General features: G+C 42.3%; 1 long non-coding RNA gene and 1 pseudogene across 4 annotated transcripts in view, besides 5 other annotated features; both read left to right on the top strand.

Annotated features, from left to right (window-relative positions):
* Positions 1,449 to 1,838: a silencer, noted in NCBI's record as "silent region_20065". NCBI's record gives its function as "represses an Ori minimal core promoter by ATAC-STARR-seq in GM12878 lymphoblastoid cells {active_cell/tissue: GM12878}" and the evidence as "EXISTENCE:reporter gene assay evidence [ECO:0000049][PMID:35858748]".
* Positions 1,706 to 22,095, top strand: part of LOC105376156 (uncharacterized) — a 40,336-nt gene continuing 19,946 nt past the window's right edge. For 2 of the 4 annotated variants that reach the window (NR_188614.1, NR_188613.1), the window contains exons 1-2: positions 1,706 to 1,812; positions 16,859 to 17,080. This is a non-coding gene — a long non-coding RNA (uncharacterized LOC105376156). Of the gene's footprint in view, positions 1,813 to 5,243; positions 5,436 to 12,371; positions 13,704 to 16,858; positions 17,081 to 22,095 lie in introns of those variants that run through there. The other 2 variants (NR_188615.1, NR_188616.1) reach the window with 2 other exon arrangements.
* On the top strand, positions 15,021 to 15,419 carry MT1P1 (metallothionein 1 pseudogene 1; annotated as a pseudogene).
* Positions 16,281 to 16,900: an enhancer, noted in NCBI's record as "H3K4me1 hESC enhancer chr9:98173918-98174537 (GRCh37/hg19 assembly coordinates)". NCBI's record gives its function as "activates a minimal SCP1, AML or CMV promoter by ChIP-STARR-seq in primed H9 embryonic stem cells {active_cell/tissue: H9 hESC(primed)}" and the evidence as "EXISTENCE:reporter gene assay evidence [ECO:0000049][PMID:30033119]".
* Positions 16,575 to 16,869: a silencer, noted in NCBI's record as "tiled region #12092; K562 Repressive DNase matched - State 5:Enh". NCBI's record gives its function as "represses a minimal TATA promoter and a strong SV40 promoter by Sharpr-MPRA in K562 cells {active_cell/tissue: K562}" and the evidence as "EXISTENCE:reporter gene assay evidence [ECO:0000049][PMID:27701403]".
* Positions 16,901 to 17,521: an enhancer, noted in NCBI's record as "H3K4me1 hESC enhancer chr9:98173297-98173917 (GRCh37/hg19 assembly coordinates)". NCBI's record gives its function as "activates a minimal SCP1, AML or CMV promoter by ChIP-STARR-seq in primed H9 embryonic stem cells {active_cell/tissue: H9 hESC(primed)}" and the evidence as "EXISTENCE:reporter gene assay evidence [ECO:0000049][PMID:30033119]".
* Positions 18,210 to 18,379: an enhancer, noted in NCBI's record as "experimental_110630 CRE fragment used in MPRA reporter constructs". NCBI's record gives its function as "activates a minimal promoter by MPRAs in K562 erythroleukemia cells, with activity observed for the non-introgressed 9:98172524 variant allele {active_cell/tissue: K562}" and the evidence as "EXISTENCE:reporter gene assay evidence [ECO:0000049][PMID:34662402]".

The raw sequence follows: 22,095 nt of genomic DNA, 5'->3' as shown, positions 1-22,095 counted from the left end.
TTAATTACCCAAAAATGTAGGCACATTATAATCCTGTTTCTGAAAAAAAAAAAAAATGTATCTTTATATAAGAGTAGAGGCAGGCCCGGCACGGAGGCTCATGCCCGTAATCCCAGCATTTTGGGAGGCCTAGACAGGTGGATCACTTGAGGTCAGGACTTTGAGACCAGCCTGGACAACATGGTGAAACCCCGTCTCTACTAAAAATACAAAAATTAGTTGGGTGTGGTGGCACACACCTGCAGTCCCAGCTACTTGGGAGGCTGAGGTGGGAGAATTGCCTGAACCTAGGAGGCAGAGCTTGTAGTAAGCCGAGATGGTGAAACTGTACTCCAGCCTAGGTGACACAGCAAGACTGTATAAAAAAAAAAAACAGAAAATGTACATTTTTATTATATTATTATAGTATTCATACAGATGAAATTTAATATTGATTATTGATATCAACTTTATATTATTGAATAATTATAATTATTACTTAATATGTCATATATTATTCATTACATTATTTCCTTATATGATTTTAAAAAATTGTTTTAAATTACTTTTAAAATTTGTTGTGGGTACATAGTAGGTGTATATATTTATGGGGTATATTTGGTGTTTTGATACCAGCATGCAATGTGAAATAAGTACACCATGAAGAATGGGCTATCCATCCCCTGAACATTTATACTTTGAGTTGCAAACCAATTAACACTCTTTAAGTATTTTTAAATGTACAATTAAGTTATTATTAACTATAGTCACCCTATTGTGCTGTCAAATAGTAGGTCTTACTCATTCTTTCTTACGTTTTGTACTAACCATCCACACCTCCCCTCAGCCCCGCACTCCCCTTCCCAGCCTCTGGTAACCATCCTTCTACTCTCTATGTCCATGAGTTCAACAGATTTGATTTCTGGATCCCACTAATAAATGAGAACATGCGATGTTTGTCTTTCTGTGCCTGGCCTTTTTCACTTAACATAATGACCTCCAGTTCTGATATGACTGTTTTGTGGGATTTATACTTTGCATGTATTTTTTGTTTGTTTGTTTTTTGAGAGGGAATTTCACTGTCACCCAGGCTGGAGTGCAATGGTGCAATCTGGGCTCACTGTAACCTCCGCCTCCCAGGTTCAAGCCATTCTCCTGCCTCAGCCTCCCTGGTAGTTCGGATTACAGGCGTGCGCCACCATGCCTGGCTAATTTTTGTATTTTTAGTAGAGACGGGGTTTCACCATGTTGGCCAGGCTGGTCTCGAACTCCTGACCTCAAGTGATCCGCCCGCCTCGGCCTCCGAAAGTGCTGGGATTACAGGCTGAGCCACTGCGCATGTGTATCACAGAGCCGTGTATCAGTATTTTTAAGTTAGTCCGTCAAAAACAACCTTGATTTGCACGAGACACATGTTAAAGAGATTTTGTGATTGTCCTTTCTCCCTTGCTTTCCTCGTCTGGCTCCTGGCTGCCCCTTGGGCCGGCGCCTCTCGCTCGCTCTATTCCTTCTCCCCGCGGCTGCCTCGTGCCGGCCGCACCTTCTCGCCGCGGACCGGAGCCGGGGCAGGAGCCGGGGCAGGAACCCGGGCAGAAGCCGGGGCAGGAACCAGGACAGGAAGCGGGGCAGGAACCAGGACAGGAAGCAGGGCAGGAGCCCCGCAGGAGCCAGGTGTCTGAGCCCCGCCCCGCCGCGGGGGAGAGGCCTCCGGGAGCCGGGGCCGCCCAGAGCCGCAGCCGCCGCGCAGGCAGGGCCGGGCCGGGCCGGGTGCGCGGGCACAAAGGGGCCGCTGCACATGGCAGGCAGGCGAGCAGATGCCAGCAGACAGCTTTTGTGAGTCCCTTCATGTTAATTAACTTTTGTGAGAACCTTCATGTTAATTAACTTTGCTTGAGCTTTCCCTAGACTTGAAAGCTCTGGAGTGGTTTGTTTTTGTAAAATGCTTTGACTCCAGGGAAAGCCGCTTCAAGGGGGAAAAAAGGAGAAACAAAAAGAAAGAAAGGGAAAATTTTTAAGTGGGGCTTTGCTTACCAGCAAATTTCTTCCCCTTGGCTCCGTCTCCCCCTCCCCCACAAGCAGGGACTCAACCATCAGAGAGAATTTTAATGGCCTTTTTCTTACCCTAAAACATAAACCCGAAGCAGACCTCCCCGTGGCAGTGGGGGCTCGGCTGGCCGCATCGGGGACAGGGAACAGGTGTGTGCAGGCAGGGCCGCCTGTGTTTCTAAGGAAGCAAATCAAAGTGTGAAGGGCCCTGGACTAATGTACTCCCAGTTTAGAGAAATGGGGACATGGAGCTAGATTTGTGGGGGCCAGTTCTGATAAGTAACAAATGTGCTCACCCACAGAGTCTCAGGGCCCCAGGGTGAGATGCAGGGGGTGGGTCTGCTGCTTCCAAGACTTCTTCCTGGGACAGGACCGGTTGTTAAAGTTTAACCGAGGCCAAGTAAAAAGAGACAGTGCTGGAAAGTGGAAGATCTAGCCAGCCACCCAGCTGTTTATTAATATAAAGGCGGCACAGCATCAAACCACTGACTCAAACCACTGACTCACCTCTTCTTCCCCCAACATCTTATGAAAATTTTTGAACAAACGGAAAAAGTTGAAAGAATTATGCAATTAATACCCATATACCCACCACTTACTTTCTGTAATTAATATTTTGCTATATTTGCTTTTATCACGCGTATGACCACCTGTCTGTCCCCATCTTACCTGTCCACCAAGTCGTCTTATTTTTAAGAATTTCAAGTTGCTAACATCAGTATTCTTCAATCTTTAACACTTCAGCATGTAGTTATCTAACTCTAGTTAGATAACTAGAGTTCAATCTTCGTTTATCGCTCATGGATTTTTTTCTTTTTCTTTTTTTTTTTTTTTTTTTGAGAGGGAGTCTCGCTCTGTCGCCCAGGCTTGAGTGCAGTGGCGCGATCTCGACTCACTGCAAGCTCAGCCTTCCAGGTTCACGCCATTCTCCTGCCTCAGCCTCCCGAGTAGCTGGGACTACAGGCGCCTGCCACCACACCCGGCTAATTTTTGGTATTTTTTAGTAGAGACGGGGTTTCACCACGTTAGCCAGGATGGTCTCAATTTCTTGACCTCGTGATCCGCCCGCCTTGGCCTCCCAAAGTGCTGGGATTACAGGCGTGAGCCACCGCGCGCGGCGGCTCATGGATTTTTTAAGGTAAAACGTACATACAGTAGAATGCACAAATAAGAGGAAATTTGATGAGTTTTCACAATGCATACAGTTTGCTTTTTCTTTTTACTTTTAATTTTTTTTTTTTTTTTTTTTTTTTTTTTTTTTTGAGATGGAGTCTCGCTCTGTCGCCCAGACTGGAGTGCAGTAGCACAATCTCGGCACACTGCAAGCTCCGCCTCCCAGGTTCACCCCATTCTCCTGCCTCAGCCTCCTGAGTAGCTGGGACTACAAACTCCCGCCACCACGCCCGGCTAATTTTTTGTATTTTTAGTAGAGATGGGGTTTCACCGTGTTAGCCAGGATGGTCTCCATCTCCTGACCTCGTGATCCGCCAGCCTCGGCCTCCCAAAGTGCTGGGATTACAGGCGTGAGCCACCGCGCCCGGCCACTTTACTTTTAATTTGAAGTAATTTCGCACTTGCCAAAAAGTTGCAAGCACAATCCACAGATCTCTTATTTGCTCTTTACCCAGATTCCCACTTTTTTAACAAGTTGCAAGTAAGTTGCATACATCATATACCTTTATTTCTTAATAATTCCATATTTTCTAAGGACAAGGCTATTCTCTGATTTAGAAAATTTGATTTTGATATAACACTTTTATTTAAACTACTGTCCATATTCCAATTTTGACAACTGCCCCAGTAATTTTCTTTATAACATTTTCCTCCAATACAAGTTCCAGTCCTTTGCGAACTATGGTTTCAGCTTTACTAAATCTCTTTCATCTTGTTTAATGCTTTTTGGCTTAAATGCTACTTTGTCTTAAACTGTCATAACAATCCCTGAATTCTTATTGTTTCTATTAACCTGGTAAATTTTTGTTTTTATTCCTTATTTTTTACTCGTTTTGAATCACTGTGTTTTAGATGTGTCTTTTGATCACAGCATAGACTTCGGTTTTGCTGTATGAGGCAACTGTTCTGTTTTGTTTTGTTTTGTTGAAACACAGTCTTGCTCTGTTGCCCAGGCTGAAGTGCAGTGGCATGATCTCAGCTCACTGCAATTTTTGCCTCCCAGGTTCAAGCGATTCTTGGGCCTCAGCCTCCTGAGTAGCTGGGATTACAGGTGTGTGCCACCACGCCCAGCTAATTTTTGTATTTTTAGTAGAGGCAGGGTTTCGATGTATTGACCAGGCTGGTCTCGAACTCCTGACTTCAAGAGATCCACCTACCTTGGCCTCCCAAAGTGTTGGGATTATAGGCATGAGCCACCGTCCCTGGCCCTATATGAACCAATTTGAAAATCTTATCATAAATAGGTCAATTAAGTCTACGCACATTTAATGTGACATGTTTAATCTCGACTCTGTCATATTACTTCATGTTATAGTTTGGTGTATATTTTATACTATTTATTGTGCTTCTTTCTCTATTTAGTATGTCATTCATATTAATTTTTTTTGAGACAGAGTCTCGCTCTGTTGCCCAGGCTGGAGTGCATTGGTGCCATCTCGGCTCACTGCAACCTCTGCCTCCTGGGTTCAAGTGATTCTCCTGCCTCAGCCTCCCAAGTAGCTGGGACAACAGGCACACACCACCACACCTGGCTAATTTTTCTTGTATTTTTAGTAGAGACGGGGTTTCAGTATGTTGGTCAGGCTGGTCTCGACCTCCTGACCTCAGGTGATCTACCTGCCTTGGCCTCCCAAAGTGCTGGGATTACAGGCGTTAGCCAACACGCCCAGCCATTCATGTTAATTTTTAAGGTTTCTTTTGGTATTTAAGAATATTTTTGTTCTAGTTATTACCTTTGTTTTCATATATTTTATGTTATGGTTTCCCTAACTCCTTTTCTTTCTTTACTTAATCTTTTATGATCTAACCTGTCAGTAGTGTCTTCTGATTCCCACATATTACAACTGGCAGTGATCTTATTCAGCCTTCCCCCTCCTCCTGTTCCTATCTCCTCTCACTTTTACTGGTATTCTTCCTCTCTGCCAGAATGTATCACCATTATATGTTTTCCACCCATGTTCTCTCCCTTGTTTTACTCCTGGCTCTGCAATTAAACATATTAAGTACTGGTTATTTTGCTGAAGTTTCCTCTATGATCACTTAAGGTTGGATGAAGTCTACTCTCCAGTGTATTCTTCAGGAAGAGCATTAGCACACTGTTCCATGGATAGCTTGGATGGATATTAAATCTGTGACTGGCACTTTCTTTCCTTGAGTCCATGAAAATGCTGCTTCACTCCTGCCTGACCTTTTCTGTGGCTGTGAGAAGCCTGATACCCTGCCTGATTTTCTTTCCTGTAAGTAACTGGATCTTTTTGCCTGGAGGCTCTGATGATTTCTTTCCTTTGTCTTTAAAGTCTAATCATTTTACCAGGATATGTCTTAGAGTTAATTGTCTGTTGTCAATTTTCTCATTTACACAGTAAGTTTGCTCTATATGTAGAATGAATTTTTTTTCATTTCCAGAAAGTTATCTTAGAATATAAACTTAAATATTAGCTCTGTTCCAATATTTTGCTTTCCTCTTTAGAGAGCACAATTATTCATATGTTGGACCTTCTCTGTCTGCCTTCCATTTCAACCACTTTCTCTCTGACTCTAACTTCTTTACCTCATTTTAAATCTCTTGGTCATTTGCCTACTTTTCTTCAGTATCCCTTATTAAATTTTTGTTGAATTCTGTTTTCCATTGGGACTTATAATTTGTTCTTCATTTCTGAAATAATTCTTTTTCTTTCGATATGTTTTTTGAGATTAGTCAATTTGTGTGGTATTTCTTCCTGTTTTATGTCCATTTCTATTCTTGGTTTTCTAAAAATTATGATTCTAACATTTTAAAAAAATCCATCTTCATGTATTTGGTTTAGGATATTTAACTGAGTTTGGAGAGTTGTGTAAAGTTTTATTCTACTTTCTGAATTTTTTTTTTCTTTTGAGGCAGGGTCTCACTCTGTCACCCAGGCTGGAGTGCAGTGGCACAAACATGGCTCACTGCAGCCTCAACCTCCCAGACTCACACAGTTCTCCTACTTCAGCCTCCCGAGTAGCTGGGACCATGAGTGTGAACCACCATGCCTGGATAATTTTTTAAAATTTTTTGTAGAGATGGGGGTATCACTATGTTGCCCAGGATATGAATTTTTTTTAGAAAACACTTTCATCAGTCAAACATTACAATTAACACTTTCTGTTTTCTTCTTACATTTGCTTTATAGGAAGTCAGTTTGATTTTTTTCTATCTCTGGGTGTTTTGTCAGGAGGGTTCCTAGTTGAGTGTCGTCTTAAGATAGTTTAATTGAAGTGCAATTTATTTAATGGAAAATATTGTTGGCAGTTGTGGTGGTGATGGTGGTAAAGAAAGGGGACTGACAGATGCAGTGGTCAGCTGGTAAATGTTTAACAGCCAGATCTCCAAGAAAAAGTAGCCTGATTGGTAGCATTTGCCATGACACGTGTACTCCCACTACAGCTGATTTTAACCTACCAATGGGGTGTCACCGAACACAGAGTTGTGAAGAGATGATAATAACCAGTCCTCGTGAGCCGTTATGTTTACCGCACATTTTATTTCTCCTTTAATGTGCCCGTCTCACTTCCTTCTTCTCCGTCATGGCAGCATCTTCAAGGGCGAATCCCTTCTCTATTCTTTCCCAGCAGCACTGCTTCTTCATGGCTGTGGTTTCCAGTGCCGTTCACTGCAAGCCCCCATGCTGTAACTGTGGCTTTCCACTACTATGTCCCAGACATGTGTTCAATACTTAGACACTTACTGTTGGGCTTTTCCGGGGTGAATTTGCCTGTGCTTCATCTGTATCTTCTACTTCCCTGTCTCATTTTTTTATGGGCCTCTGAAAGCCCCTTCTCCATACTCTCAGCATCCACAGGCTTGTAGGTGGATGGTAGGACTCTCCTGGGATTTGGTATTTATTTCTCTATCTACAAGTAATTTGAAGACCATGGTATTCTCTGCCACTAATAATGCTAAAGGCATGATTCACGTGTAGTTTTGGGGGTGTTTTTGTTTTTGTTTTTTTAAGAGACAGGGTCTCACTCTGTCACCCAGGCTGGAGTGCAGTGGTGCAATCATAGCTCACTACAGCCTTGAACTCCTGGGATCAAGCCATTCTGCCTCAGCCTCCCAAGCAGCTGGGACTAAAGGTGCATGCCACCACACCCAGCTAATTTTCTTTCTTTCTTTTTTTAGAAACGGGGTCTCACTATGTTGCCCAGGCTAATCTCGAACTCTTGGCCTCAAGCAGTCCTCCCAGCTCAGCCTATGTATGGTTTTATTGACACTCAATGGTGATTTTATATTTTGAGGGTGGATGTAGAAGAGAGATTTGGATTTAGGCAGCCACCAGTATCTCCCAGCCATCAAAACCCTTCTGGTTTTACTTTTTACTATCAAATTCATTGATTTTTTCAGTTTCATGTTGACCCAGGATGTGAGCTTTTCACTTTATTCCACTTCAAGTGAGATCTAGCCCCTTAGTCTGTGTGCCCCAGTAAGTAAAGCATGGTTTTAATATCCAGTCAGATTGATTAATATGGTGAGTGGTAAATGCCATACCTACAATTCTGGGTCAGTGGGGTTGGTGAATTGATCCAACCAAAACTTCAGGTCAAGTCTCATCCAGCTGTTCCTGTCAGCCTGACCTCAACATATGCCAATTAGGCAGAGATGCTTGGACTTTGATGGCTGTGACAGAAGGAGAGGGAGGGGAATGTGTCAAAATAAGAGCATTTTGAAGCTGTTTTTAATTTTGATGTCTAATAGAATAGGACAAGTCCTCAATTAAAAGCTATTCAGTGTTCCTGTGGCCTCAGTATTCACAAATGCATTTAATCTTCAATTGTTACTTCATCCCATCCCAGTGTGTCCCACTTATTAAAGATTTACTCATCTTTCCGTTTACCACAGTGCCTAGCAAAGATCCATGAGTAAAGTTGCTGATTTGTTAATTAATTTTATTTTACTTTGATTTTATATTGTAAAGCCGTTTTTTTTGAGAACCAACATAGTAAAATCATTGACTCAGCAAAGCACACAGGCTACAACTCCACACGCTCATACACTAGGTCATTCATTCAGTCAGTCAACAAACATTTTGAACACAAGCTCCAGGGACTGTTCTGAGGAATATGGTAATAAGAAAACTAATCTGGCCGGGTGCAGTGGCTCATGCCTGTAATTCCAGCACTTTGGGAGGCCGAGGCGGGCGGATCACCTGAGGTCGGGAGTTCGAAACCAGCCTGATCAACATGGAGAAACCCCACCTCTACTAAAAATACAAAATTAGCTGGGCGTGCTGGTGCATGCCTGTAATCCCAGCTACTTGGGCGGCTGAGGCAGGAGAATCGCTTGAACCTGGAAGGCAGAGGTTGTTGTGAGCCGAGATCGTGCCATTGCACTCTAGCCTGGGCAACAAGAGCAAAACTCCATTAAAAAAAAAAAAAGAGAGAGAGAGAGAAAATGAATCTGACACAGATCCTGCTCTGAGGTACCTGGAATATCGGTTCCTTTCTACCTCCAATTTCTGTTTTAATTCTGTGCCTATACAACACTCAAGCAATTGAATGAAAATTTGAAAATCCAGTTTATTGTTTGCATCTATATATTTTGTCTATAACTTTAGATTTTTGCTAACATTGAAGCAACTTGTGACTTTTATGTATCACTGCCATTGCTATGGTAAAGCACCCACATCTGATTTCATTTCCATTTTCATTTCTCTGTTTTGACACATCATAGGCACCACCACAGTTTCATAGACCTGGAAAAAAAATTCTGCTTTCTAATTGACTTAAAATGGAACACTTTCCATAGAGTACATAAACACTGATAGAGTTTTGAAGTTCATCTATTCATTTCTTCTTAAGAATTTATTGTAAACTTTAGTATGTTGTTTTGATGGAAAGAGATAAATACATCTGCAGAAAGACTATAATATTTTTAAAGACTTTATTCCAAGATTGCCTTCTAGTAATGGAAAAAATCAGACTTCAAACTAACTAGACCTAAGGTAGTTTGGTTTGGTGAGGTAACATTCCAGATGGAAATTCTGAAACTCAAAGAGAGTAACACAAATCAGATGTTCATCCAAGGGATTGAAGATGTGTGTGTGCATGTAAACACAGCCTCTGGATTATCAACCTGTGATTTTCTTACAGAGATTGTCATGCACAGCATGATACAGGCCGCTCTTGGTAAGCAACCTGCTTTGAAGCAATCCATCATGCTTGGCTCCGTAGATCTTGTAATTTTTCTTTACCCGTGATGCATTTACCAACATCCCCTTGAATTATACATAGGACTGCAGACTCGTGCTATGCGCCTCCTGCTTCCTTGGCTGCGTGAGGGAGACCCTGTGTGATTCCCTAGCTTCGTTGAAGGGGAGAAACACTTCAGTGCCCCTCACCTTCAATGTACAGCTACAAAGCTGCCTTGCTTGGGTTATATAAAAGTTTATAAAGAAACACGATGATTAAAGCTGGGGAGGCGGCCGGGTGCGGTGGCTCACGCCTGTAATGCCAGCACTTTGGGAGGCCGAGGCGGGCAGATCACGAGGTCAGGAGATAGAGACCATCTTGGCTAACACGGTGAAACCCCGTCTCTACTAAAAATACAAAAAATTAGCCGGATGTGGTGGCAGGCGCCTGTAGTCCCAGCTACACGGGAGGCTGAGGCAGGAGAATGGCGTGAGCCCACGAGCCTGAGCTTGTAGTGAGCCAAGATCGTGCCACTGCACTCCAGCCTGGGCGACAGAGCGAGACTCTGTCTCAAAAAAAAGATCTCTTAGCATCTAGATTCCCATTGTTTTCACATTCTACTCCAGGTAGCGCTTCTTGATACGTTAAGATTTAATTTAAAATCTTGCAGCCTTCTTGACTGTTTAAGTATTTTCAACATTTCTGACTATTCACTCTGCATCTTTGAGGCTTCTGAAAAGCAAACCTATTTTTCTTTCTCTCCAAAACACACACACACACACACACACACACCACACCCATACACGTATACACACAAATACTCACACCTCACAGTGGCGATCTCTGGCTAGCAGAAATATGATTTGTTTTGTTGGTTTGTTTCGCTTTGCTTGCCTATATTTTGAAATTTTCTTCGCTGTAGCAATATGGTTTCTGTAATAATGAACAGTTTGCCTGTTTGTTTGTTTTAACAATAAACTAAACATCAACATTTAAGTTTGCCTCCCAGGCAAATAAATAAAACACCGTTCTGTATTCTTACCAACACGTGGCATTATCAGAAGTTTCCAATTCTGGAAATCCAATGGGCATATAGGGTTATTCAGAGTGGTGTTAAGTTGCATTTCCTGATTATTAATGAGACAGCCATTGGTGCTTTTGTCTTGCTCTGCGTAAAACCTACCTTGTTTTAATTATTACATTAAAATTTTTAAAAAATAATAAATCCTGATATCTGGTAAGGCAGCTTCTCCAACCTTGGTCTAAATCTACACTATCCAATATGGTGGATACCCTCTACATGTGTTTATTGAGCCCTGGAAGTGCAGAGTGCAGCTAGTTCAAATTGAGACATGTTGCGAATATAAAATACACATCAGATTTTGAAAGTTTAGTACCAAAAAAGAATATTTGCTGATAATTTTTATATTGATTACATGTTGAAATGATATTTTGAATATCCCTGGTTAAGTAAAATATATTATTAAAATTAATTACAATAATTTCCTTTTACTTTTTAAAATGTGGCTACTAGAAAATTTAAAAATGCCTAATGGCTTACATCTTTGGTTCATGTTATATTTCTCTTGGACAGTTCTATTCTAGAACAATCTGATTTTTTAATTTCTTCTTCATTCAAAATTGGTACGTTACTTTTTCTCCTACAAAATTTTCCATTTTGTCTAATCTTTCAAATGTATTAGCATAAAGTTGTTCATAATAATACATTATGATCTTTTAAAATATCTATAGCATTTGTAGTGATGTCTCCCTTTTTATAAGATTCCCAATTTGGGTTATTTGTGGTTTCTCTCTTTTTTCTTGATTAGTCATACCAGAAGTTTGTCAATTATTAATCTCTTTAAAGAACCAACTTTTGACCTTGTTGGTCCTCATTTTATATGTTTGCTTTGTATTTCACTAGCTTCTGCTCCTATATTTATCATTTTCTTTCCATCCTCTTTGTGTTTATTTTGCTGTTTCTTTTTCCAGTTATTGAGATGGAAGTTTGAATTGTTGATTTTCAGACTTTTTCCTATTACATTTTTTTTTTTGACAGGGTCTCACTCTGTTGCCCAGGCTGGAGTATAGTGGTACAATCGTGGCTCACTGCCGCCTTGACCTCCTGGTCTCAGCCTCCCAAGTAGCTGAGACCACAGGTGCACACCACCAGGCCTAGCTAATTTTTTTAAATGTTTTTGAAAGATGAGGTCTTGCCTTGTTGCCCAGGCTGGTCTTGGGGGCTTAAGCAGTCCTCCTGCCTCAGCCTCCCAAAGTGCTGGGATTACAGCTATTCTATGTTTTATATTTCATATGTCTTAATATGTATTATTTCATTTTAGTTCAGTTAAGTATTTTCCAAATTTCATTGTGATTTCTTATTTGACCATAATATATTTAGGGTTGTCTTACATAATTTTCAACCAAGTGGAAATGTTTCCTTTTAATTACTGATTTTACTTTTAATAATTGATTTCTGACATAATTTCATTGTGATCAGAGAACATTCCTCTGTAAAATTTATTGAGACTTGCTTTTTACCTCCAATATATTGTGAATTTTTGTATATTACTTGTTTGCTTGAAAATAGTGTGTATTGTGCAACCGTTGGGGACAGGATCTACACATCATTTAGTTTAGGCTTGTTAATCATACTCAAATCTTCTATATCAACAATTTTTCTTTCAACTACTGAGCAAAGCGTTTTAAAATTTCCCCTATGATTGTGGGTTTATCTATTTCTTATTTTAGGTGTCACTTTTTGTTTAATATATTGAGGTTATACTATTAGGTACATACAAATTTAAATTTATTTTTATTGTGAATCTAGCCTTGTATCATTATGAACTGGCCCTTAAAGAATACATAAGTAATTATGAACAGAATGTTGATGGAAATATGGAGGTAAAAGCCTTTCTGATGTTGTCTCAGACGTAAATGAAGAGTGTTATTGGATGACGGTGGAAAGGCCATCCTTATTATACAGTGGCAAATAACTTGGCTGAATTGTGTTTGTGTCCTAGTGTTTTGTGGAAGGTAGTACTTGCAAGGGATGAAACTGGATATTTTACTGAGGAGATTTCTAAGCAAAATGTCGAAGAAGTGACTTGGTTCCTCCCAGTTGATTGTAGTAAAATGCAAGAAGAGAGAAATGAATTGAAAAAGGAATTGTTGAGCAAAAATGAACCAGAGTTTAAAGATTTGGAAAATTCTCTGTCTGTTCATATGACGAAAAATGAGAAAGTGTGTACTGAAGAGAACACTAAGGGTGTGGTGGACCAACCATTTCATAAAGAGATTAGTGTGGCTGTGTACCATGAACTTAATCAGCCATTTCAACAGAGGCCGGGAATACAGATGGGATTACACCTGCAGAGACACTGCTGGCTGGGACTAAAAAAAACAGAACATGGAATGGAATGAAGGAAGGCCGTGACTTTGTGCTATCATCTAGTAAAAGGGATGAAGGGCCCCGAGGCAATTTGGAGGTCCTCTGCCTCCAATTTGAAGGACTATTGCCCTGGTTTCAATAGTCCAGACAGCTTCCAACCAAAGATGTGGAGGCACAATCTTTGCCTGGTAGAGAAGCTAGGGGTGCAACATCTGGCCAGGAATGCTGCTGGGGTGGGACCTTTACCCTAGTGGCTCCAGAAGGCAGGGCATCAAACCAAGGATTACTCCCAAGCCTTAAGATTTCATGGAGTTTGCTTTGTAGTTTGGACTTGCTTGGGACTGGGTCACCCCTTCCTTCTGTGTTTCTTGCTTTTGGAATGGGAATGCCTATCCTATGCCTGTCCCACCAATGTATTTTGGAAGTATACAACTTGTTTGGTTTCACAGATTCGCAGCTGGAGAGGAATTTTGCCCCAGGATGAATCATAACTCAAGTCTCACTGTACCTAATTTAGAAGATATTTAGAAAAGACTTTGGACTTTAGACATTAGCGTTGTTGCTGGAATGAGTTAAGACTTTGGAGGATGGAATGAATGTACAGATGCTCCTTGACTTAGAATGGGGTTATGTCCCAATAAACCCATTGTAAGTAAAAAAATATATAAGTAAAAATGCATTCAGTACCCTGATAAACCCATGGTAAAGTCAAAAAATCAGAAGATGCTTTTCAACTTACAATGGGGTTATTTATTTCCTGATAGACCCATCGCAAAATTTAAAAATTGTAAGTTGAACCATCATATGTTGAGGACAATGTGTATTTGGCACATGAGAAGGACATGAATTTTGGGGGGCCAGGGGTAGAATGCTATGGACTGAACTTATGTGTCTCCCTAAAATTCGTACGTTATGACCCTAGTTCCTAATGTGATGAGGAAATAAATGTTCATTGTTTAGGCCACCCAGTCTATGGTATTCTTTTTGTATCATCTTGCACTGACTAAGACAGGCATTTATGAAATACAGTTGCTCTGGCACTAAAAGGAACAAATGATATGCAGCAGTAAGGATGGGTGTTAAAAAATATTGTGCTGAGTGAAAAATGCCAGACCCTCCCACAACATATCCTCTACGTAATTCCATTTATATGAAGTTCTATCATTGGCAGGACAAATCTAATGTATGTGATTGAGATCAGATCAGTGGTTGCTTTGGGAGTATGAGGTGGGATTAACTGAGAAGGGGTACAGGGAAACTTTCTAGGGGATAGAAATGCTCCGTATCTTCCTCAAGATATTAATTTGTCAAACCCCATGGAACTCTACAATTAAGACCTGTGCATTTCACTGTATGTAAATGATACCTCAGTAGTGTGGTCTCTATGTGTGTGTATATACATGTGTGCGTGTGTGTGTATCTGTTCTTTGCCCTGCCCCCTTTCCATTCCTGCCCTGAGAAGATAGAAGACCTAGGAAGTAGAGAATGCAGTCCCATAGAAAGGAAGGCAGTCCCAAGGAGGGCCATAAAAGAAGTCCTAGAAGGACCGAGAAGGAGAGTGGAGGGTTCCAGCAGGGACGTCTACAAGAAAATGGTGGCCCAGATGGATGACTTCATGAGGAAGCTGGAGGAAGTTGTGGGAAGTTATACCAGGAAGTTATTAAAAGGTGTGAGAAAGAAAACTAAGGAAAAAGAAAGAAAAGCAATCATTAACATGAGGAGGCAGGGGGCAGTAAGGACAGGGGCATGGTCACAGTACCCTACAGTGCTCGGCTGGGAGTAATATGTACATAGGATAATGTAAACACTATGTGTTATTTAATCCTACAATTTGCAATATAATTATATTGAAGGACTGCTGAGGGAGGGCTGAAGGATGGCTCCTTGACCATCATGTGAAGTTAGTAGTTAAAACGGATGAATCAGAAGAGGTCAGGGTGCACACATTACTTAGAATCAAGAACATGTGAATGCCAGGAAAAAAAATTGCTTAAAAATTATGTGGACTTTAAATTCTATCTACCAGGCCACATTAGTCTTTTCCAGTAACAAAGTTGAACCCTCTAAGGAGATTTCTAGGGCAGTTTGAAAAAGACCCAAAGCTGTTTACTAATGTAGTTTATTAATTAAAGTGGCCCTGGAGTCACACACCACAGGTACTACAATTTGTCATGACATTTGGCCCTCCATGTCCAAGGGTTCCACATACACGGATTCAACAAACCTCAGATCAAAATTATTCAAAAAATGAAAATAAAAAATAATAATGCAACCATATGACACCTTCCAGTTGCCTGACTGCCTCTTCACCTTTCCCATGGGAACTCCAGCGTCTCCTTTGCTCAAAACGGACCCCAACAGCTCCTGCACCACTGGCGGCTGCTGGCCCTGTGCTGGCTCCTGCAAATGCAAAGAGTGCAAATGCACCTCCTGCAAGAAGATCTGCTCCTGCTGCCCTGTGGGCTGTGCCAAGTGTGCCCAGGGCTGCATCTGCAAAGGGGCAACAGAGAAGTGCAGCTGCTGTGCCTGATGTGGGGACAGCCCTGCTCCCAGATGTAAATGAAGCAACTTGGATACAAACCTGGATTTTTTTTTTCATATGACCCTGAGCCATTTGCTACATTCCTTTTTCTATAAATATGTAAATAACAGTAAAACACTTTTGACTTAAAAAAAAATGCAACAATATGAAGTAATACAAATAAAAATACAGTGTTAACAACTATATACATAGCATTTACATTGTTCTAGGTATTATAAGTCATCTAGAGATGATTTAAAGCATGTGGGACAGTGTGTGTGGGCTATGTGTACATACTGTACCATTTTATGGAAGAGACCTGAGCATCTGCTGCTTTTTAGCATCCACGGGGGTCCTGAGACCAATCCCCTGAAGATACTTAAGGTTGGCAGTACTCATTTATTTGTTTACTTGTTTTCAGAAGTTCAGACTAAAACCAGGTAAGCAAAAATTATTGACGGTAGCTCTGAAGCAAGCAAGAGGGAGGAGCCCTTACCTCCCTGCTGTGGTGTGGCAGGAGTCCCTCTCCTGAAGCCGTTGGCAAGACTAGACCTCTCTCATACATCCCCCACCGCAGCCTCATTATCAGCCAGTCAGTTCAATATGATGTTTCCTCAACTCTCAGATCTTCTGTTCCAAAACCCACCAACAATTTAATAACAGCTTTGCAGCTGACAAGCCTACTTTGACCTGAATTGCAAAATGCATCTCAATTTCAGAAATATTAATATGTGGAAAACCATGTATCTCTCCACCAAAGATTCCGTTAAAGGACCCTGGTTTGGGTCTTGTTCCACACCTCCCATCTTGGCCTATTGGTGGAGGTATTTTTGTACAGCTGAACAGTGTCCCAGAGTCCCCCGACAGCTCAGGCCTTCATGCTCTTGGCTATACCGAGTGTTGGCTGCCCACAGCTCTCAACTGAATTCCTCTCTGTGATTTGCCTTCAGCTCAAAACAGCCACTTTCCCGAGTTCATGCCCCTTCCCCAGGACAGCTGTGTCCAGTGGGCAATGGGGCAGGGGTACAAAAGCCCCGCCCTCTGAGGGCTCTTTCCACTTCAGACTTGCCCTGGGGTTGTCGGAGGCCTCGTGGAGACTGCCTTGCAGCTCAGCATCTCTCTGCCTCATCCTGCCTCTTTCTCTTCCTTCACAGATGTTGATCCTGGGAGTACCTCAATAAACTTCAGGAGGCAAATCTCAGAGTCAGCTTCCTGAGGTCCCAAATGGGACAAAGTCTCATTTCAGCCTATTGTCGTTCCCTTCATGCCGTAGGCATTTCAGGGGTTCATGACTGACCACCCCGTCCAGTCTCTGTGCAGACATGAACCCATTACACCTGGAGCCCTCCCTGACTTCCTAAGGCCCTGAGCTGGTGCTTTTCTGGGCCAAGCCCATCATGAGGCTTCTGACAGATGAGGTGACCATCCTGCTCTGCTACTGACGTGACATGTGGCTTCGGCAGATTGCTCACGGTCCCTCCGCCTCCAGGTCCTCATCTGTCAAACGGGAGGATTCAGCAGGAGGACTGCGGTGAAGCATTAAGCACAGGCCTGGCACATGGCAGGGGCTCATTCCTTTTTCCTGTATCCCATTCCAGGTCGTCCAGTCTCCCAGTCATCCGCCTGACCTGCTCCTGTCTGAACATCCTACCGCGAGTCAAGGCAAATGGGCTCAGCCGCTGTTCCACTCCACCCAGGCTTGGAGTGGACTCCCCGTGAGCCTGCAGAGGGGCAGGATGCTGAGTAGCAGGCCATGCGGGTGCGCCCGGGGTCTCACCCCAGCCCCAGGGAAGAGGCTGTTTCATTCAGTGAACCAAGAGGTGATGAAGGGGAGAGCTCAAGCGGCCTCCTGTTCCCTTGGGAACTTGAGGGGGTGTCGGGATGTGTTCCCTTTCTGCACTCAGCTGGGAAAGAGCTGGTGGAGAATTTTCCCTTCTGAGCAGAGAGAGAATTCTCTTCACCTCCCCCGCCCCGCCCCCGCCCACTCCCACAGCCACCAGTTCTCTGGGCAACCCTAGTTAGCAGTTTGGGCCTTTCTTTCTGCACACAATTGACCTGGAGGGCCTGAGTCTGGTCCATTCAGAGGCCACATGGAACACTCTGTTTTTGTCACTGCCCTCTCATCTTCTAGAAGCATAACCTTATCCAACAGAAAGAGGCAAAAGCGATTGGGCCCGACCTCTCCCAGTGACAGTGTTTGCACTTCATTCCATGGCACAGCGTCTTCTGTAACTTTAAGATTTAACATTTCAGATTATTTTCCACTGGGGCTCCCATCGATGCTGAGTTCTGGCTACTTTTTTCCCCTGATGCTGAAAGGTTCGATTCTTCCATCTATCCATCAACAAATCACATTGAATGACGGTGCTCAGTGACCCAGGATGCCACTGGAGACAAAACACACTATACATATTTTCTGGTCTCCCTGGAAAATTAGTGCAAACACTTTCATCACTGCGGAGAAGGGAAATATGCGCGGAGCTGTGAAAATCTGCTTTGTTTTTTGTTTTTCTAAGAGGAGATTTCCCCCTCCTTCAAACAGTGAAATTTATATTGTTCTTTGTCTGCAAATTAACCAGTTAAGTAGAATTCCTGTATGTCTCTTTCACTTTCTGCAAGCCAAGGCCCCTCTTTCTCTCCACCCTGTATTCATACATAGTCCAGGATCACCCCCTGTCCCCCTCCAATGCTGCTTGAAATTTCATTCCATTTTCGTCCTGACTTGTTCAAAGTAACATTTAAAATATTTTAATTCAAATTCTTATCTCATCCATCCTGTTTAAGTTCCATTTTAAAGAATCTTCTTTTCTTATGAATGGTCTGTTTTTGATTCAGTGGAAAACTTGGGCTGCTCAACCCTTTCTCTCTCCTGTTAAATTTTCACTTTTATGAAGAGATCAGATGTCACCCTCTGGAAATGGAGCGGGAGGAGACCCAGGAGCTCTGGCCCTCCCTGCAGCCCCGCGTGGTGCTCCCTGTGCAGCCGCTCCCCCTGTTCAGTGGAGAGGACAATTAATCTCCCACTACACAGAAGTGGTGCCTGAATGCACCAAGATGAAAATGTTTGTGTACAGGGTGGTCTATTTAAAACAGTTCCCATATGATGCAATGCAGCTTGACAAGGAAACTCTTTCAGATGACTCACCATTTCACAATAACAATTAGCATTTGAGAATCTTGCATAGAACACCCAGCAGAAGAATATTTTATTGATTTCTTAAGAGTTTCCACACGCTGGCTGGGGCTTCAATCAAGACAACCTATTAAAGACTGATGTCCAATTTCATTTGTATGAGTTCGCAGTAAGGGAGATAAAGTTTAACAGTGCAAAAGAGAAGGACTTAGGAAATGCAGACTTCAAATTCAGATAAGCCATCAGTGGGACCTAGTTTTTCAAAAAACCAATAAAATGTCTGGATGCATTAATGAAGGCATAATATTTCAAATGAAGGAGGTGATAATCAATCACATTATATTCTTTGATGGTCAGGCTATATTTGGAGTATTTTTTAAGTTACAGGCAATGAATTTTAAAATAACCAGAAAGCATCCAAGGTAGACAATCTAAATAATGAAGACTGAAAACTAGATTCTCTAGAAGAACAGGATTCTGCATTAGAATTGGGTTGCAGTCCTAGCAGTCCCTTACCAGCTGTGAGCTTAGGCAAGTTACCTAATCTTGCCTCAATATCCTCATCTACAAAAAAGATGATAATTTTTAAAAACCCATACCATGGGGTTATTCTGAGGGTTAAATAATTCATACATAGTTAGTGGCAGAGTGCCTGGCACATAGCATGTGCTCAATAAATATTAGATATTGTTATTAATGTTGACAACAAAAACAGTGATTATGATACCACCTTATGGTGGTATAGCGTTTTCAGTTTATAAAGTGACTTTATATCATTATGTTTTCTAATGTTCATGTTTAATACGATTTGGTCATTACTATCCTCATTTTTGGAGGAAGAGAACTTTGGGGTCATCTGCCCTGAGAGGGCCTTTCCTTCCTGCTCAGCTTGGCTGGGCACCAGCCTCCTATGCCACCTCCAGGCAGTCCTCACAGCCTGGGGCGCCTCTGGCCCCCAGCAGCTGACCCTCCTCCTGAGGAGGAACCAGCCCTGGAGGGAGGACCCCTGACGATGGATTTGGCCATCTTTGTGATTACAAAGTTTCCAGTCAGCCTCGCCATTCAAATCTCATTGGTCCATCTATGCAAAAAAAAAAAGCAAAACAAAACAAAAAATTGTGTGTATGTGTATGTGTATGCACATACACATCCATGTTCGAAAGAAAATACACCGCAAGGTTAACACTGGTACTCTCTGCGTAATGGATTATAGGTATTTTTAAATCTTTCTTTCTAAGGTGTATTTTCTAATTTAAATTTTTTTTTTCACTGTGGATTTGTATTGCCTGGGAATAAAGAACTAAGAAGTGCTTCACAACAGCATGGGGCTGTTGTGACCGGTTCATTGTAACTAACATTAGAAAGGCCCACAGTTTATAAAAGATGATGAATGGGCAGAACCTGCTAGCATCCATCCAATATCCGTTCTGTCCTTCTCCCTAACCATGGTGATTTTGACAGGGCAGCACTGGGCCGAAAAATTACACACCTTCATTTGCAGCCAGGGGTGGTCACACAGCCCAGTTCTAATGGATAAGATGAGAGCAGAAGTCTCTGAGTGAGAATTTAACTTTATCCTTTTGTTTTTGTTATGATTTTCTTCTACCATATACTTGCAGCAATAGGAAGACTTTATTGTTGTTATTGTTTTGTTGTTATTGTTTTTGAGTTGGAGTCTTGCTCTGTCACCCAGGCTGGAGTGCAGTGGTATGATCTCTGCTCACTGCAACCTCCACCACCCGTATTCAAGCAATTCTCCTGCCTCAGCCTCCCGAGTAGCTGGGATTACAGGCGCCCACCACCAAGCCCAGCTAACTTTTTGTATTTTTAGTAGAGACAGGGTTTCGCCATGTTGGCCAGGCTGGTCTCAAACTCCTGACCTCAAGTGATCTGCCCATCTCGGCCTCCCAAAGTGCTGAGATTACAGACATAAGCCACCACACCTGGCCCAGCAATAGGAAGACTTTGTATGAAGCATGAATTGCAGCATTTTTTTTCTACCTAAGAAAACATTACAGCCCAGGCACGGTGGCTCACGCCTGTAATCCCAACACTTTGGGAGGCCGAGGCAGGCGAATTGCCTGAGGTCAGGAGTTCAAGAGCAGCCTGGCCAACACGGTGAAACCCTGTCTCTATTAAAAATACAAAATTAGCCTGGCATAGTGGTGCATGCCTGTAATCCCAGCTACTCGGGAGGCTGAGGCAGGAGAATCAGTTGAACCGGGGAGGCAGAGTTTGCAGTGAGCCAAGATCATGCCATTGCACTCCAGCCTGGGCCACAAGAGTGAAATTCCATCTCAAAAGAAAAACAAAAGAAGAGAAAGAGAGAGAAAAAAAAGAAAGAGGAAAGAGAGGAGAGAGAAAGAAGAAAGAAAGAAAAGGAGAGAGAGAAAGAAAGAAGGAAAGAAAGAAAGGAAGGAAGAAAAAGAGGAAGAAAGAAAAAGAAAGAAAGAAAGAAAAGAAAAGAAAAAAAAGAAAAGATTACTGCAGAACTGAAGATTGTGCAAACCAGGTGGGAAACACCTGGGACAGCATATGGGCAGGATCCTCAAGAAGGTGCAACTCCCCTTTGCACTCCTCACAAAAATGTGGGGTTGTGGTTAGATTCCAAATCTGGAGGTCTTTTCAATTGATCTAGACCAAGCAATAGAAGTAGACCAAGGAAAGGGAGGCAAGCAAGGTGTGAGTTTTTTCCTCTCCTAAGTTTGGTAATTCTGAATGTCACAAAGGTCCTTTGTTTAAGAATCCTGCATGTTCCAAGCAATTCCTGGAATTTCTTAAATGGCTTCCATTTTCCTGGAGGAGAAGCTCGTAATGGTCTGCTTGGCTCTCTGCCTTTATAGCCTCTACTGGAGCCACTTAACCCGCAATTTGTAGGTTCAGCTGTACCCCCAGGCCTAAGGCCACCCCTGTCCCTAGGTGAGGGAAGATAAGTTCAACCCAGCCTACCCTGCCTCTGTCCTCCCTGGTCACCTGGCTCATCTACAAAAAGCGAAGATTCCCCCTTAGTGTCTGGCAGAGATGCACATTTACTCCTGGGTAGAAGTTAAAAAAACAAAAGATGTATTTGCTTTTTTTAAATCTGCTTGGAAATATAAACAAAGGTGAAATCTTATAAAATAAAGTGTTCCAAAAACACTTGCCCAGGTATCAGCACTCCTAGGTGGTCAAGCCGTTTAATGCGTGGGGACCTTCTGCTTCCAAGTGGTCACAGGAGGCTTAGGGGATCCTTTAGGGTTCATTCTAATTTTCCAGGAAACATCCCATTTAAAGGGAGAAAAAAAACACTTACAAAATTTCCCATGAAGCCTCCACTATACAACACTTAACAGAGAGGCTCTTCCTTTAAAAGCTTGCACATTTTCATACTATCCCATTTTTATTCACACTGGTCAAAACTGTGCTATTTTTTAACTTAAGGAAAGTAATTTGATGAAATTTAACAGCCCTAATGAACTAAGCGGAAGAAAATGCAGAAGGCTTTAACAACAGCAAACCTATTGAAACGAAAGACCCTATACATTGTTCTACTGACAGACTTACCAGCAGAGCAAACCAGATGTAGGTTGCCAAGGGAAGTTCAGCTTGTAAATTGTAAGAAAAGAGTATACTGCCAGGCTCTGCTGGGCTCTGTTATTTCTTCATTAAAATGCACTGTCAATCAGATTGAAAAGAAATGTCTAATTAACACCATAGGGCACC

Source organism: Homo sapiens, chromosome 9 (assembly GCF_000001405.40).
Source record: "Homo sapiens chromosome 9, GRCh38.p14 Primary Assembly".
NCBI lineage: Eukaryota > Metazoa > Chordata > Mammalia > Primates > Hominidae > Homo > Homo sapiens.
The sequence above is the reverse complement of the archived record's forward strand: the minus strand, read 5'-3'. Positions and strand labels throughout refer to the sequence as shown.